An 18069-nucleotide genomic window follows, 5' to 3' on the forward strand; every position below is an offset into this window, starting at 1 on the left:
TATCCATCTGACAGAGGTCTAATATCCAGAGTCTAGAAGGAACTTAAACAAATTTATAAAAATCAAACAAACAAACAACATCATTAAAAAGTGGGCAAAGGACATGAACAGACACTTCTCGAAAGAAGACATTCATGTGGTCAAGAAACATATGAAAAAAAGCTCAACATCACTGATCATTAGAGAAATGCAAATCAAAACCACAGTGAGATACCAATCTCATGCCAGTCAGAATGGAGATTATTAAAAAGTCAAGAAACAACAGATGCTGATGGGGCTGTGGAGAGATACGAATGCTTTTACACTGTTAGTGGGAGTGTAAATTAGTTGAACCATTGTGGAAGACAGTGTGGCAATTCCTCAAAGACCTAGAACCAGAAATACCATTTGACCCAGCAATCCCATTACTGGGTATATACCCAAATGAATATAAATCATTCTATTATAAAGATGCATGCATGTGTAAGTTCATTACAACACTATTCACAATAGCAAAGACATGGAATTAACCGAAATGCCTGTCAGTGATAAACTGGATAAAGAAAATGTGGTACATATATACTATGGAATACTATGCAGCCATAAAAAAGAACAAAATCATATCCTTTGCAGGGACATGGATGGAGCTGGAAGCCATTATCCTCAGCAAACTAACACAGAAACAGAAAACCAAACACTGCATGTTCTCACTTATAAGTGGGAGCTGAAGAATGAGAACACACGGACACAGTGAGGGGAACAACACACACTGGGGCCTATCGGGGGACCTGGGCAGGGGGAGGGACAGTAAACAACCTAATGCATGCTGGGCTTACTACTTATGCAATGGGTCAATAGGTGCAGCAAACCACCATGACACATGTTTACCCGTGTAACAAACCTGCACACCCTGCGCATATACCCCAGAACTTAAAATAAAACTTAAAAAAGGAAGATGTTTGGGCAGGTGTGACTGAAACTGCAGATGTGTGCAGAGGCAGGGAGTGGATGAGTGTGGCCCCAGCTGACCATCCACCTCATCACTTGTTGTCACCTCTGGCACTCTTATTAAATCACTCTCAGTTTCTAAATGTGCAGAGCTCCCTCTTGTTCTTTTTTTGTTTTTGCACTGGCTATTCCCTGTGCCTGGAATGGTGTTTTCCTTCCCTTCATTTGGCTAATTGTCCTCCAGACCCCAAGGTGGATGCCACCTTCTCCAGAAAGCTTTCCGTGGCCCTCTCTCGCTGCATTAGGGCCATTAGGAAAGAGGTCTAACAGACTTCCACAGTTTAACATGGCTGGGAAGATCTCACAATCATGGCCAAAGGCAAAGAAGGAGCAAAGTCACATGTTGCAATGGTGGCAGGCAAGAGAGAGCATGTACAGGGGAGCTCCCATTTCTAAAACCATCAGATCTCATGAGGCTTATTCACTACCATGAGAACAGTATAGGGGAAAGCACCACCATGATCCAATTATCTCCAACTGGCCCTGCCCTTGACACGTGGGGATTATTACAATGCAAGGTGAGATTTGGGTAGGGATAAAGCCAAGCCATTTCAGGACCATTAAAAAATTCACTAATCAGGGTCTTCTTCATAATTCCAAGGTCAAGGGAAATGTGTACCTTCCCTCCACATTGAGGGGGTAGCTCAATGCTACAGACCCCACGGTCAGCTCTACGTTGATACAAAGATGAGAACTTGGACTTTGGTCCCAGGGAAAGGTGGACACGCGGATGACCACCTGACCACTATGTAGAACAAAGCAAGTCTGTGAGAGAGGAGTACTGTTTGTGGGAGGCAGAGATGGGGACAGCTGATTCTAGTGGCTGGCAGGAGAGAGGGCCTCTCAAGAGGCCCCTGCTCGCTGGGTTTTGCAGGATGACAACAGTCAGGGAATGTAGAAAAAGGAGGTTGGGAGGAAGAAACAGCAAAGGCAGAGGCTGGGAGGTGGGACCCGCATTGTGGGATCCTGGAATGGGATGTGGAGTCACAGTGGGATCCTCTACCTTTTGTGTGTGCAAGAATCACATCCAGCGAGTCTGATAAACAATGAAGATTCTTGGGGAACCACCTGCTTCAAGATTCAGATCTTGAGGTCTGGAATGGGGCTGAGAAGTCTCATTTAACAAACACCCAACACGCTTGTTAATTCCAATGTGCTGTCTATTGGGCTTAGCTGCTCTGTGAGGTGGAGGGGTGGATGGGTGGAGATAAAGAGCCTGGAGCCAGGTCATACGGACCTGGCACGTCACCATCCTGGGAGGTCTAAACCCTGCAGAGGGAAATCAGGGAGTCAACACTGAATATCGAGGGGGAGACATTCGAGAATTCTTACAAAAGAGTTGCTGAATGTTTATTAAAGCCAATTTTGTATGCACCCGGGTATACAAAAGAGTCTGAAATTATACATGTCGTGTAGGTTTCAGAATCTTGGTTCAACAGGGATTGGCCAGGGCAGGGATGAGAATTTGCATTTCTAACAAGTGCCTTCCCAGCTGGTGCCAGTTCTGCTGGTCCTGGGAACACGTTTTGAGAACTCTGGTTGTTATTTAAAGGAGTTCAGGCATTAACCTGTGAGGGACTCTGAAGTGGCAGGAAGAATGCAAAGGTGACAACCTCTAAACTTCTTTTCTCCTATTTCCCTTCAAAGGAAATTCATCATGCAATGGCCTTCAACCCATCTGAACATTTTCTCTGGCTACAGAAAATGCCTGGGTCGTGCCCCGAAATGAATCTTCTTTTCAAAGAGAAACGGTAGGATTTACAGGTCAGTGGAGGATAAGGACGATGTTGCTGGGTGGCTGGGGCTTAAAATCACTTTAAAATAGATGAGTACATTTCTTCTAATATTCTTGATAAAAATCAAAAGTTCTTCTCTTCCTGGACTTGAATGAAGTCCAGAGAGTTCTAAGTCAAAAAGTTCACAGAAAACAAGTGCTTTCAAACACTTAGGGTCTGGATGAGAAAAATATGAGGCTGCAAAGGACTGTTTTGCTCAAATTCCTATACCAGACTCTAACCTTTGGGGACAGCCCTCTTGCCTCTCCATCAACAAGTCAGGACGTTGGTCCTACCACAGAGAAATTATGGGCTGCAAAACCAGGAAGCTCAAGTCCCACTGCCTCCCTGCTGCAGACATTCGGAGTAATTATCACCCCGCTCTGAGACTGAGCTTTTCATCTGTAAAATAGAAATTTCATAACATCTTTTCTAAGTACTGCCACATGACATAAATGACGCGATGACTGACATCAATTTGGCACCAGTTCCAGGCACTGTTCCAAGTGCTGAACATGTATTCTCTTTCTTAAGCCTTACAAAATCCCCACGAAAGAGGTCCCATTATTAATGCTATTGTATAGGTAACAAATTAGGCTTGGAGAGGTTAGCAACTTGCCCAAAGTCCCACAGCAAGTGTGTGTGTGAGAGGTGTGGGGAGCTGTGATGCAGATCCAGGCAGTCGGGCACGAGGGCCCAGGTGCCCACTACACAGCCCTGCAGAGGCTGTTTTGGGCCTTTCCCTTTGAAGCTCATTTCTCTCTGATAGAATCACACATTATCACCCTTTTTTAATCTCATGGGAAATTTTTCTGTATTTTACGGATTAACCATAATTATTGTGATATAATAAAAATCACTTGTAATTTTGGATCTGTTTTTTACCATTATAAAATGGTAAGTGCTAAGAAAGAGCTGCCATCCTTAAGCAAACATGGAATATTAACAAAAGATGATCACAAACTGACCACAGAATAAACTATCATATGTTCCCCAAAGAAGAAACTTATGGATGACCTTTCTTTATGTAATAAAACAAAACTGGTAATGAATGAGGATAACAAAATCCCATCTACAAAATCCCAAAATCCCAATTGAAAACATTGTTCTAAATAATTAATCTGTATTCATTTGTGTGTTGTTTATGGTATCTGTTTTTACATTTGATTCTTAAAATCATTTCAGTTATTTTTTAAATGGTGTAAATTTATATAGTTGTATGCTAACAAATTTGAAAGTTTCGATGACATAAGTGACTTTATTGAAAAGACAGAAATTAATGACATCAACTCAAAAGAAAATAAAAATAGATTTTTACGAAAGTAGTTAAAAGATATTCAAAGCATTTTTTTCCCCAAAAGACTACAGGGTGAGATGGTTTTACTAGTGAGGTCTTTTAATACTTTGATTATCAACTAACGAAATGTGAGAAATTACATTTCTGTCTCTGCTGTGGTTACTTGTTACAGCATCAACAGGAAACAAATATACTTATAAGAAATTCTCATCTATTATTTTTGCCTATCAAATACCAAAGCCTCATTTAAATGCTTGTGGATGACATGGGCAGAGTGAGACTAATGCCCTTGTGCCCTGCCAGCGGGAATGGAAATTGAAGCAGACTATCCGAAAAAAAATTGCTCATATGTACGAAAGCCTTAAAAAAATTTACACTCTTTAACCTGTTATTTCTATTTCTGAAACACTAAACTACATGAATAATTACAGATTTGAATAATGATTAATGTAGAAGATTATTCATCTGAAGTTTACAAATCACACTTTTTCAGTAATAAACACACTGGAGGCTGGGTGAAGTGGCTCACATCTGTAATCCCAGCACTCTGATGGGCCAAGGTGGGTGGATCACCTGAGGTCAGGAGTTCGAGACCAGCCTGGCCAACATGGTGAAACTCCATCTCTACCAAAAATACAAAAATTAGCCAGGTGTGGTGGTGGATGCCTGTAGTCCCAGCTACTCGAGCGGCTGAGGCAGGAGAATTGCTAGAACCTGGGAGGCGGGGGTTGAGAGCCAAGGTCGAGCCCTGCACTCCAGCCTTGGCGATGGAGTAAGACTGTGTCGCTAAATAAACAAACAAACACTGGAAACAATCCAAATGTCCAGGAAATAAAAGAAAAATGAAACAAATTATAACTCATAAATAGAAACTAGTACAATTATTAAAACATGGTGTAATGTAAGCATTGCTTTAGTCTTTTTTCCTACCCTTTTCCCATTTTTTCCTAAGCTATTCATTAAACCAAACATTTCCTCTGTTGATTTTTGAGGTTTCCTTTTGCACACATTAAAATCATACATAGAAATGAATTTTCTGCTTCTGGCCATCCCTTAGTGCCTTTGATCTTTCCATTCTTGTGCCCATGCTGCATTGTTTTAATTGTTGTCACTTTATTACATGTTTAATGTACTCACTAGCGTCCATTTTCAAAACTATGTCAGAAACATACACTTGCTTATTCTCTTGTGGGAACTTTAGAACTCTTTCCTCATTTTCCATCACAAACAGAAATGTCATTGAACTTTTGATTGAAATTGTATTGAATGAATACATTAGTTTGAATACAATTGAGATTGTTTTTTAAAATTCATTATTATCATTATAAAATTAGTAAAACTATCACAGCAAATAATTTTAATGACTTGTTCACAACATCAGGTTGCAAAATAATCAGAATACAAAAAGTTATAAATGGAATGAACCAAATTATGTGCTTCTTAAATTTTATAAAAGACTAAATATCATTGGGCCTCTTAATACACACTAAAATTATGTTATGTTGAAACATGTTTATAAAACTAAAAAAGGATTTCATCTATAAAATATTTGTATGTGATAGTTTAAAATTTCTTTCTAGATTTTCACTAAAAATTAAGATTAATAAGAGTTGAGCATTCTGATTTCTGCATATAATTCTTTATGTAAAATGTACCAAAAAAGTAAGAACTGTTTTTAATTAAAAAATTATAAGACAAAATATGTACTTCATTTAAAAATAATTTTTTTAAATTAAAAGGTTATTAAAAGTTGTGTCAAAATATGGATTTAGAAAGAAAATATAAACAAAAAGAATCCAGTAAATAGAAAGAGATATAAAGAAAGTTATGGGAATAAAGATATATTTCTGGTAAGAAAGATTTAAGAAAAGAAAATAACTTTACATTAAAAAATCTTGCCTGGTAAATGTTTTTTCCTAAAATAAAGTGACTGGTTATTTAAAAATAAGAAAGTATAGAACAAAACAAAAGTTATAAGCATGCCATGAAAGTTACGAAAGTCTGTGTAAGTTGTAAAAGGTCTGAAAATGATAAATTTACAAAAGAAATTTTGTATGTGATCAAGTTGACTATATTTAAAAGGGAATTATTTATAAGCCTTTCTAAGGTTTGAGTTTTGATATTAAAAATACACCAATACAAAACTAAAAATTTGGTCCCTTATGTTAAAGCAACAAAGTTTTCTTGAAGTAATGATCTGCTTTTAGTAAAATTTACAAGAAGTTCTGATTTTTAATTGTAAAAATTTTCAGCCACTTTCTAAACTGTAGCTTATTTTTTTGTTTGTTTTATAGTCTCCATTTAATTTAACTAGTTTTTAGTTTAAAATGCTATCTTCTTCTTAAAAATGGTATCTTCATTTCTCAAGGTGGAGTTTTCGTCTTGAAGCTTCTCAGAGTCCTATCTCAGAAGTTCAATTTTAATGTGTCTCACAGCATAGCATGTGCAGTTCATACTACATTGCCTTCTGTTCTTTCACTTTCTTTCCTTGAGAAGGTACATCTTTTTGCTTGGCTGGAATGTTGACTTTCTCCTTCAACTTCTTTGTTAGCTCCTATAACTTCTTCCTCTCATTCTAACAGCTATTGAGGCCTGACACTAAAAATGTTTGTCTCAAAGACCTAGAAAAGCAATGTTTCTTTTTTTCCAGTATAACTTGATTCTGTACTTAGCTTTTCTTCATGTGTCTACATTGTTCCATGTAACCAGGGAATTTCTCATGCTTTTACTAAGAGCCATATATCCCCCTGCTTAAAGTAATACTTTTCTTGTTTATGTTCCACAGTGTACAGTCATAGCCTTGGATATACATTCTGAATACATACAAGTACTTTTTCATCAGGTTGTCTAAACAGGCTTCCCATGAGGTGAACCAATCACATAGAAGGAGGTTTTTCATTGCCTTTTTAGTAACTGGCCTAAGAAACAAATATTTTATATTTTATCAAGATAATTTCCTGTGTTGCCTTTACTAAATTTTTTTATTACTTTTAAAAAATGGAGACTTTAAGGGTTAAAGTTTTTTTAATATCTATATAACTTTCTGTATTGCTTTTAAGATCTATAATTATCACTCTAATTAAATAAATGACTATCACACAGTGCCCTGTGATACTGTTTTGATCAGGTATTTTAAAACTTTTGGCATCTTTGATGGACTTCCCCAGCATCAAAATGCTAAATTAAATCTTTTTGACATAAACTTAACTTTGAGATTTTCCAGTCAGGCCCCTAGAAAGCCTCAAAGGACTTCTCTCTCATCTTGTAGAGATATTAAATAATTAGGCTTATTTGGTAAATTATATGGGAAATATCAAATGCTAAGTGATACTAGATCTTCTTTCAGTTACATTTATGGATATGTTATTGGTATATATGTTCTAAAATGGTAATAAAACTCTTAAAATCTTCTATGTTATCAGTCATAATTTTGGTTATTATATTGTAGGCCACAAAATAACTAAATTTCCTTGCAAATTTCTGGTTATGGGGAACTTTTATCCTATTTTCAACTATGGTAGTTTTAAATTTTTGTCATTTACAGTTATTTTAAATTTTTCTCTAAAGTTATCTGCAATTAGATTCATTACAAAGACTTTGACAAATACTCTTAAATACAAGTTTCAAAAAACTTTAAGATCAATGTGGTTTTTTTCCCCCAAGATGGCAGATTAGAGGCATTGTTAGCATGCCTCTTGTATTAGTCCCTTTTGATGCTGCTGATAAAGACATACCTGAGACTGGGTAATTTATAAAGAAAAAGAGGTTTAATAGACTCACAGTTCCCCATGGCTGGGGAGGCTTCACAATCATGGCAGAAGATGAAGGCATGTCTTACATGGCGGCAGGCAAGAGACAGCATGTGCAGGGGAACTCTCCTTTGTAAAACCATCAGATCTCATAAGACTTATTCACTATCATGAGAACAGTATGGGAAAAATCCACCCCCATGATTCAATTATTTGCCACTGGGTTCTTCCCACAACACATGGGAATTATGGGAGCTACAATTCAAGATGAGATCTGGGTGGAGATGAAGCCAAACCATATCACCTCTCATACTTGGAAAGACAAAATAGTGTGTAGAGACTCACGCTATAATTTTTTTTCCAAGAAACACCACAGGCATTTAACCAGAAAACTGAAAGAAACCACAGACTCTTTGAAAGAAGTGGTGGCAGCAGCCTACACCATAAGCCAGGTGGAAAACTGTGAGTCCTCAGAGTGTGGCAGTGGGAGAGACTGCCTCTGTGACACACACTCCCGCTAGGGAACCTGATAATATAGGCCATGGGGGATGGCCTTGGCCCCACCCAGCACTGGAGCTGAGTGGTGGGGAATGTTGAGAAGGAGCAGCATCGGACATGCTTTGCGTGCACTCCTAGACTCCAGTGGGGATGGAGAGAAGACATTCCTGACTCTACTTCACAGGGAGCCTTGCAGAAGTCAGCCAGCCAACTCGGGTGGCAGTCACAGGTTGAGAGAAGGTCTCAACTGTGATTCACGACATAATCTTGAGTGGGGATGAGCTCCCTTGGCCAGAACTAAGGGGCAAGTGGGGGTACTGTAGTCACAAGTACAGAAGCTGGGCATCCCTGCTTTGGGGTGGACCAGGAGGGGCACAGCCTGAAAACCACAGTTTCTGTCTGGGTGGGGAAAGCTTATAGCCTGTGGCAGTTTTGAGTTCTCAGTGCAAGGTTCCTGGAACCCAGCTAGCTGGGTTAAACAAACAAAAAGAGTTTGTGCTGTTGCTAATACTACATGCTATACTTGGATAAATTCCCCTAGAAGAGTTAAGACTCAAAGACACAAAATTAAAAAAAAAAATGCAGGTTACAATGAGGGAAGAAAGAGACCTCTCATATTGTTTTATACTCAGTACCTGTTTTAAGAAAAAAACAAGGAAGTGAAACCAAAGGCAGGCAGCCCAGCGCCAGGCGCCAGACCCAAAACCGGACCCAAAACCAGGCCTGGGCCTGCCTGGCCTAAACCTAGTAGTTAAAATTCCACCCCTGACCTAGCAACTGATGTTATCTATAGATTCCAGACATTATATAGAAGGACATTGTGAAACCTCCCATTCTGTTCTGTTTCACTCTGACCACCGGTACATGCAGCCCCCGTCATGTACCGCCTGCTTGGTCAAATCAATCACGACCCTTTCATGTAAAATCTTTAGTGTTGTGAGCCCCTAAAAAGGACAGAAATTGTGCACTCAGGGAGCTCGGATTTTAAGACAGTAGCTTGCCGATGCTCCCAGCTGAATAAAGCCCTTCCTTCTACAATTCATTGTGTGAGAGGTTTTGTCTGTGGCTCATCCTGCTACAACAACAAGTTTCACCTAATTTGTCATGATCATTTAATTAATTTAATTTATTTAATTTATTTAATTGGTTGCTTTTAAACCTAAGTTCATGGATCACAACTAATATACAAGCTGAGATTGTCATATTACTATTAATTTTACTTTGTATTTTTCTTTTAAACCTTGTACCTATTACTTGTTAAATTTCTACAGAACAAATCTTCACAGAATAATACTGGCCCAACACTTTTAGATAATAGTAAATGCCTACAGAATAGACAAAAACTTAAACTTAACACTTGATTTTAGGTAGATGTAGCCTGAGAACCACTCTCTCCAAACCCCTCTTGTTGCTCAAATGTAGCTAAAAGAGTTTAGACACTAACTCCAATTACACCTTCCAATGTAGGACCAACCAACAACGTGAGACAGGTTGATCCCAGCTGCCTCACCTAGGGATAATCAAAACCTAACTACAAAATGGTTAACCAGTGATTTTTTTAAAAAATCTTGATCAAAAAAGGAAATGTGAAAGTTGTCAGAATAAAAATAAAGTCACCTGTGTTAAAAAGCAAAAATAAAAGCAAACCCCTGAAAAATAAAGCTAAGGAAGGTCATGAAAGGAAGATTCTCATATACAGATGCCTGCTGGCAAAAACTATTGCAAAAGACTGCAAAAACCTTGCACAAAGGCCACTACAACCTTACACGAGAAAATACTGCTGCGAGAACACCTGCCTAGCAACTGCCTGTCCAACCTTGGACTGATGCCACCCTTGTTACTGATCCTTCTATTCAAAGATAACTATCTCAAAAACAATTACATAATTCGTCTCATTTTTTCTTTAAAATCCTTTGTCTTCTTTCACCTCCCTGAATATGCACATGGTTTACTATGGCACACCTATGCCAATTGCAATGCCCATTCCTGAATAAACATTGTTTTCTTTCAGAAAGTCTCCCTGTTTGTTATTTAGATTGAAAAAATTTGCAACCATTAGTATATTTCTTTCCTTGAGAGGAAAGAAAAGTGGGAGCTCAAAGTTAATCATTCTTATCTGACATAAATGTTCTTCTGAGCATATAAAATCGTTCCTTTACGGCCTCACATCATTCCTAATCTCTCTTCTCATACTTTTGCCTATAATTTTCATCTAAGTCTATTTCTTCTTTATCTTTGCAAGAGAAATAGCTAATTGATTTGTTTTAAAAAAAATATATCATTTGGAGTCACATAAATGTTCAGCCATGACAATTGTTTTATGATGTATCTTTGATTAAATTCATGGAACCAGCATTAATTCCTACATTTATTTCCCTTTCTTGCCTTCTAGCAGCCTACTCTAAAAGCCACCTTCGTCTACCACAGGCTCAGCCATAAAGCAAGTCTCAGTAGATTCAAAAGAATTAAACTCATACCAACCATACTCTCAGACCACAGTGGACTAAAATTAGAAATCAACACCAAGAAGATCTCTCAAAACCACACAATTACATGGAAATTAAATGACCTGCTCCTGAATGACTTTTGGGTAAACAATGAAATTAAGGCAGAGATCACAAATTATTTGAAATAAGTGAAAACAGAGACATAACATACCAAAATCTCTGAGATGCAGCAAAAGCAGTGGTAAGAAGAATGTTTAGAGTGCTAAATGCCTACCTCAAAAAGTTAGAAAGATCTCATATTAATAATCTTATCACCACTCCTAGAGGAAGTAGAAAAACAAGATCAAACCAACTCCAAAGTTAGCAAAAGAAAAGAAACAGCTATAAAATCAGAACAGAACAGAACAAAATTGAGATCCAAAATCCATACAAAGAATCAATGAAACCAAAAGTTCATTATTTGAAAGGATAAATGAGATTAATAGACCACTAGCTAGATTAAAAAAGAAAGAGAGACGATCCAAATAAGCACAATCAGAAATGATGAAGGTGACATTATAACTGATTCCACAGAAATATAAAATATCTTCAGAGACTATTATGAACACTTCTAGGCACACAAACTAGAAAATCTAGAGGAAATGAATAAGTTCCTGGAAACTCACAATTTCCCAAGATTCAATTAGGAAGAAACTGAAACCCTGAACAGAACAATATCAAGATCTGAAATTGAAGGAGTAATAAAAAACCTACCAACCAATAAAAGCCCTGAAAAGATGGATTCACAGCCAAATTCTATTAGATGTACAAAGAAGAGCTGGTACCAATCCTGCTGAAACTATTCCAAAAAATTGAGGAGGGACTCCTCTCTAATTTGTTCTTTGAAATCAGCATAACACCAATACCAAAACCTGGCAAAGATACAATAAAAAGAAAATGTGGCACATATACACCATGGAATACTATGCAGCCATGAAAAATGAAGAGTTCATGTCCTTTGTAGGGACATGGATGAAGCTGGAAGCCATCATTCTCAGCAAACTATCGCAAGGACAAAAAACCAAACACCGCATGTTCTCACTCATAGGTGGGAATTGAACAATGAGAACACATGGACACAGGAAGGGGAACATCACACACTGGGGCCTGTTGTGGGGTGGGGGGAGGGGGGAGGGATAGCATTAGGAGGTATACTTAATGTTAAATGACAAGTTAATGGGTGCAACACACCAATATGGCACATGTATACATATGTAACTAACCTGCACGTTGTGCACATGTACCCTAAAACTTAAAGTATTAAAAAAAAAAAAAACAGAAAACTAGAAACCAATATCCCTGATGAACATAGATGAAAAAATCCTTTACAAATTACCAGCAAACCGAATCCAGTAGTATATCAAAAGTCAATTCACCATGATCAAGTAGGCTTCCTTCCTGGGATGCAAGGTTAGTTTAACATATGCAAATCAATATAGGTGATTCACCACAATAGATGCAGAAAAATGTTTTGATAAAATCCAACAAGCCTTAATGATAAAACCTCTCAAGAAACTAAGCATTAAACAATCATACCTCAAAATAATGAGAGCCAACTATGACAAACCCACAGCCAACATCATACTGAACAGGCAAAAGCTGAAAGCATTCCTCTTGAGAACTGAAACAAGACAAGGTGCCCACTCTCACCACTCCTATTCAGCATAGCAATAAAGTTCTAGCCAGAGCAATCAGGCAAGAGAAAGAAATAAAAGGTATTCAAATAGGAAAAGAAGTCAAACTATCTCTCTTCACTGATGATCTAGAAAAGACTCCACCAAAAGTCTCCTGGAACTGACAGGGGATTTCAGGAAAGTTTCAGGATACAAAATCAGTGTACAAAAATCAGTAGTATTTCTATACACCAATAATGTTCAAGCTGAGAGCCAAAGCAAGAATGCAATCCCATTTATAATAGCTGCCAAAAAAAAAAACTAGGAAATAATTAACCAAGGAGGTGAAAGATTTAAATAAAGAAAACTACAAAACATTACTGAAAGAAATCACAGATGACACAAATGGAAAAACATTCTATGTTCATGGATTAGAACAATCAATATCATTAAAATAGCAATACTGCCCAAAGCAATCTACAGATTCAACACTATTTCTATCAAGCTACCAATGTCATTTTCCACCAAACTAGAAAAAAAAATTCTAAAATTCATATAAAACCAAAAAAGAGCCCAAATAGCCCAAGCCATCCTAAGCAAAAAGAACAAAAGCCAGAGGCATCATATTACCTGACCTCAAGCCATACTGTAAACCTACAGTAACCAAAACAGTATGGTACTGGTACAAAAACAGACACATAGACAAATGAAACAGAATGGAGAACACAGAAGTAAAGCTGTACACCTACAGCCATCTGATCTTTGACAAAGTTGACAGAAATAAGCAATGGGGAAAGGACTTCCTATTCAATAAATGGTGCTGGGATAGTTGGTTTGCCATATGCAGAAGAATGTAACTGGACCCCTACATTTTACCATATACAAAAATTAACTCAAGATGGATTAAAGATTTAAATGAAAGACCTCAAACTATAAGAATCCTACGAGAAAACCTAGGAAATATCATTCTGGACATTGGCCTTGGGAAAGAAAATTGCAAAAGAAATTGTAACAAAAACAAAAATTGACAAGTGGAATCTAATTAAACTGAAGAGCTTCTGTAGAGCTCTTCAATTCAAGCAACTATCAATGGAGTAAACAGACAACCTATGGAATGGGACAAAATAATTGTAAACTATCATCTGACAAAGGGCTAAAATCCATAATCTATAAGGAACTTAAACAATTGAACAAGCAAAAAACAAATAACCCCATTAAAAAATGGGAAAAGGACATGAACAGACACTTCTCAAAAGAAGACATACAAGTGGCCAACAAACATATTAAAAAATGCTCAACATCACTAATCATCAGAGAGACGCCAATCCAAACCACAATGAGATACCATCTCACACCAGTCAGAAGGGCTGTGATTAAAAAGTCAGAAAACAACAGATGCTAATGAGGCTGCAGAGAAAAGGGAACACTTATGCACTGTTGGTGGGAATGTAAATTAGTTCAGCCACTATGGAAAGCAGTATGGAAATTTCTCAAAGAACTTAGAACTACCATTTGACCCAGCAATCCCATTATTGGGTATATATCCAAAGAAAATAAATTATTCTACCAAAAAGAGTGATGCACTCATATGTTCATGGCACCACTATTCACAATAGCAAAGACATGAAATTAACTTAAGTGTCCATCAATGGTGGACTGGATAAAGAAAATGTGATACACATACACCGTAGAATACTATGCAGCCATGAGAAGAAGCAAAATCATGTTGTTCGCAGCAACATAGATGGAGCTGGAGGCCATTATCCTAAGTGAAATAACACAGGAACAGAAAACCAAACACTGCATGTTCTCACTTATAAGTGGGAATTAAACAATGGGTTCTCATGGACATAAAGATGGCAACACTAGACACTGGAGACAGTGGGATAGATGGAGGGGAGGGATAGAGGGGAGAAAAGTTGAAAAACTATTGGGTAGTATGTTCAGTACTTGTGTGATGGGATAAATTATACCCCAAACTTGAGTATCTCTCAATATACCCAGGAAATAAGTACGCACACGTACCCTCTTAATTTAAAATAAAAGTTGAAGTCATAAAATAAATAAATAGCTACCTTCTTGCTAACCCTCCTTCACCCTCTGTGTTTCAAAGCAATTGCCTTCATTGAAGCCCAGTTTTTCTCTCTCTTTTTTCAAAGCTTCGTTGTCTCAGTCTTTGAAGGTAAATGGGAAATATGATTAAAATAGTGAAAATGAAATTCTGACACTTAGTGAAATAACTGTGAATTTCACTTGGCTGGAACACTGCAAATCCCCAGAGACATGAATAAAAATTTCCCATTTGATGTTCTTTCCTGGACCAGAAGCCCTAGATCCACATTCCCAGAGCATACATTTGAAAACAGAAGGATATTTACAGGGTTCCTCACCCATCTTCCTGGCCAGGGCCAAGACTGTCTGGAAACTCCCATCTGATGGGAAGAGACAGCCTATAGGAACCAATGGTACACCTTTTGGCTAGCTCAAAGCCAGAAGGTGGGCATGGGCAGCTGTGCCCCTTGGCTGGCATCATGTTCATGAGCCCTGTTCCTGGGAGAGAGTGTCCCAGCCTCAGAATCTAGGTACCCAGGTCCTCGAATCAGCTCTTCCTTCCAGTTGCTCTGAGACATGCACAGTTCACATCAGTGAACTTGTCACCTTTTCCCCTGCAGAGCTACTCCTTCTCTTTCATAGCTCCCTGTCTTAGCATCTGGTACCACCATTCTATCTGGCTGATGTGCCAGACGCCTGAGAGTTATTTTTGACTCCTCCTCTCTGGGACACCACATCCCATCACCACTAACCTCACTCAACCTCATCTGCCTCTCTCCATCCACACTGCCATTACTCTGACCCAACTCATAACTGGACCAGTCAACCCCTTCAGTCCTGGCTGGGATCCAATCCTTTCTCCATGCTGCAGGCCAAAAGCCTTCTTGAAGCACTCATCATGTCCTCAATGATGTCCCATTGCTTTGGGGTACAAATAAGCCTTCACAGTTACACAGTCCCCATCAAGGTGTGTGAAAGGTGGCCCTAAGGCTAGACCCAGCCCACAGGTGGGACGTTTTTTGTTTTTTAAAGGTCAGTTTCCAATATTTACAAATTATGAAATATGACAAATCTGGATTTGTAATGTCTCTTGAAAATCAGAAAATCTGTCATCTCTAGGCCAGTGTCTGTGATGGAAACAGTAGGAGATGCCCTTGTCCCTCAAGCAGCCACAGGTCCTGGGAACCTCTCACCTTGCCCATCCTTCCCTGTGCTCATTTACAGCATAGGTGTGGCCCTCTCTGCTGCCTGCCTTGCCAGCGGTCTCTCCCTCTCCCTCTCCCCCTCCCCCTCCCCCTCCCCCTGCTCCTGACACCTGAGTTTTTCTGCCTCTGAACAAATGCCAGGGCCTTCCCCCATACTCTTACCTCTGGCTAGAACTCCCCGCCCCCATTGCCTCTCTCTTCCTACAGACCCGCCCAGATAAATCCTACTCATCCTCAAGCCATGAGTTTAGATGTCACTGCTGCAGGAAAACCACCCCCGATGCCCTACCAGAGGTCAGTGCCTATTTTCCTATTACCTGTGGCCATTGGTCAATTGCCCTCCTGTGACCTCCGAAGGGCAGGGCTAGCCTGATGATCTCACCACTCTACCACCAGCAGCCAACCCAATACCTGGCACAATACCTAGCACACAATAGAAGCTTTCTACACATTTGTTGAATGACTGGATAAACTTGACGCCTCTGGGTTAGTGTGCACGCAAGTAAGATGCCATCGACTGGCGGGACAAGATGCGGAAGCAAACGGAAATCAGTGTGGGAGAGGCACAGGTGCACGGTGTCCTAGGATATGCTGAACAGTCACTATTTGCCAGCGATGTTTTCCCAGAGGAAGTCAAGCTTGAGTGGGGCTTGGGAATTTGGGACTTGCAACCATTCCTGTTACTGAAGAGGACACTGGGTCAGAGAGGTGAGTCGACCTTCCCAAGGTCACAAAGTCCTTGCAGTCTGAGTAAGAAAGACGTGGGCTGTACCTGATGTGCTCAAAGCTGTAGCTCCAGAATCAACTCAATGTTTTAACAAATGTGGTGAATGAATAAATAAAGGGTGAAGACAGAGGTTGAAGACAGACCTTACGGACTCAAGCAGGAGAAAGAACTTGATATTGATTTATAAACAAAGTGGAATTTGGAAATGATCCCCAAAGAGAAAAGTTTAGCTCTACTGAGGTAAATATTTATTTACTTTTTTTACTCCTAAAGGACAATAGCACTCTTCATTGACTTTTAAATGTATTTTTGTTTAGGGAGCTGAGGCTGTTATCTTGTTTTTATTATCAACATGTGGTGGTTATTTTGAGAATTTTAAAATATCTTTAGAAACAAAAAGCAAAAGAGTCTCTTTAGTTTGGAACCTCACTTAGGTTGAGAGACTGTTTCTAACACACTCGCAATTAATTATAGAAATCGTCATGCATATGACAACCACAAATGTAAAATGTGAGTTGTTTCTGTTTTTGCAAAAGAAGAAACTAAAGTCATAGCCGTAATAACCCAGAATGGTCATAATAAAAGATCAGAAGCAGATGCCTCTGAGGTGACCTCGATTGGCTGAAATATAAAAAGTCACTTATAATATCACAGAAAAGTACACTTAAGAATGGTCAAAATGGTAAACTTTATGTGGATTTTACCACAATAAAAAATGTTCAAAACATTTAAAATTTGCTTTAAAAATGGAATACAGTGATTCCTCCACTTATAAAACCTTCCACTGAATGAGAAAGGAGCTGGCCCTAGAGTCAGTGAGGCTCAGTAGCTGGGACAGAAAGGACCCTGTGGGCAGAATTAGCCCCTTCTCTCCAGAGCGCCCACATTCCCAGAAACACCAGTGTGATCCATCCTTGGATGTGTAAGACACAACCCATACGTGGCTTTGAAAGCACACAGACCCGGGTTCTGGTTTCAGCACCAATATGCCCTTGTTTGTGAGAGCTCTGTCCCTTACCTCTCTCTGCTTGCGTCCAAGGCTGCATATCTGAGCTACTCACAAAGTAGCTGTTAGGATTTGAGCAGCATAACAAATGAGTCTTTTACATAACTGCTCTAGGACGTGCGAATTTGTTATGTTTGCCCCCTGCTGCTAGAATTCAGCTCCACAGGGAGCTGTTTGTCTGTTGTGCACTGTTCGTGCCTAGAACAGTCTGGCATGAAGTGGGCATTCGACCATCATTAGTGGTTTAATCTCTGCCTACCCTCCTGCCCTGCCTGTGTGAGTGGGAAGGCAGCGCCCCTGCATCCCTGGGAGGCATCCCCTGGGAGGAATCCTAGCAAGTCCAGTGGCCTCTTTATCCCCATGTCTACCACCTCAGTCGCAGCTGCATCCTTCCCTTACCATGTGTACCAATAGCAGCAGCCCTCTGCCTCTCTCCTCCCCACCCTTCCCACTCTAGTCTACACCCACCGCCTCCACCCCAGAGCCACCTTCTAACACTGATCTGGCCATGTCACCCTCCAGCTCCAGTGCCATCCAGGGCTTCCTATTCCCCCAGGGTGAAGTCTGTGGTGGCTCAGTGAACAGACGCTTCATCTCTCACCCTCCCCATGCCTGCTTTCTCCTCAGCCCCACAGCCATCTGAGTTCTTTCCCAGGGCTGTGCCCCATCTTGAG

The 18069-nt window shown here is 39.4% G+C and overlaps 1 protein-coding gene across 27 annotated transcripts in view, besides 1 other annotated feature; it reads right to left on the reverse strand.

The window, feature by feature from the left end:
* SLC2A9 (solute carrier family 2 member 9) overlaps positions 1-18069 on the reverse strand; it is a 269246-nt gene that overhangs the window by 190781 nt on the left and 60396 nt on the right. The window lies entirely within an intron of this gene.
* Positions 8793-8912: an enhancer, noted in NCBI's record as "active region_21303". NCBI's record gives its function as "activates an Ori minimal core promoter by ATAC-STARR-seq in GM12878 lymphoblastoid cells {active_cell/tissue: GM12878}" and the evidence as "EXISTENCE:reporter gene assay evidence [ECO:0000049][PMID:35858748]".

This window comes from Homo sapiens, chromosome 4 (genome assembly GCF_000001405.40).
Source record: "Homo sapiens chromosome 4, GRCh38.p14 Primary Assembly".
NCBI classification, from domain to species: Eukaryota; Metazoa; Chordata; class Mammalia; order Primates; family Hominidae; genus Homo; species Homo sapiens.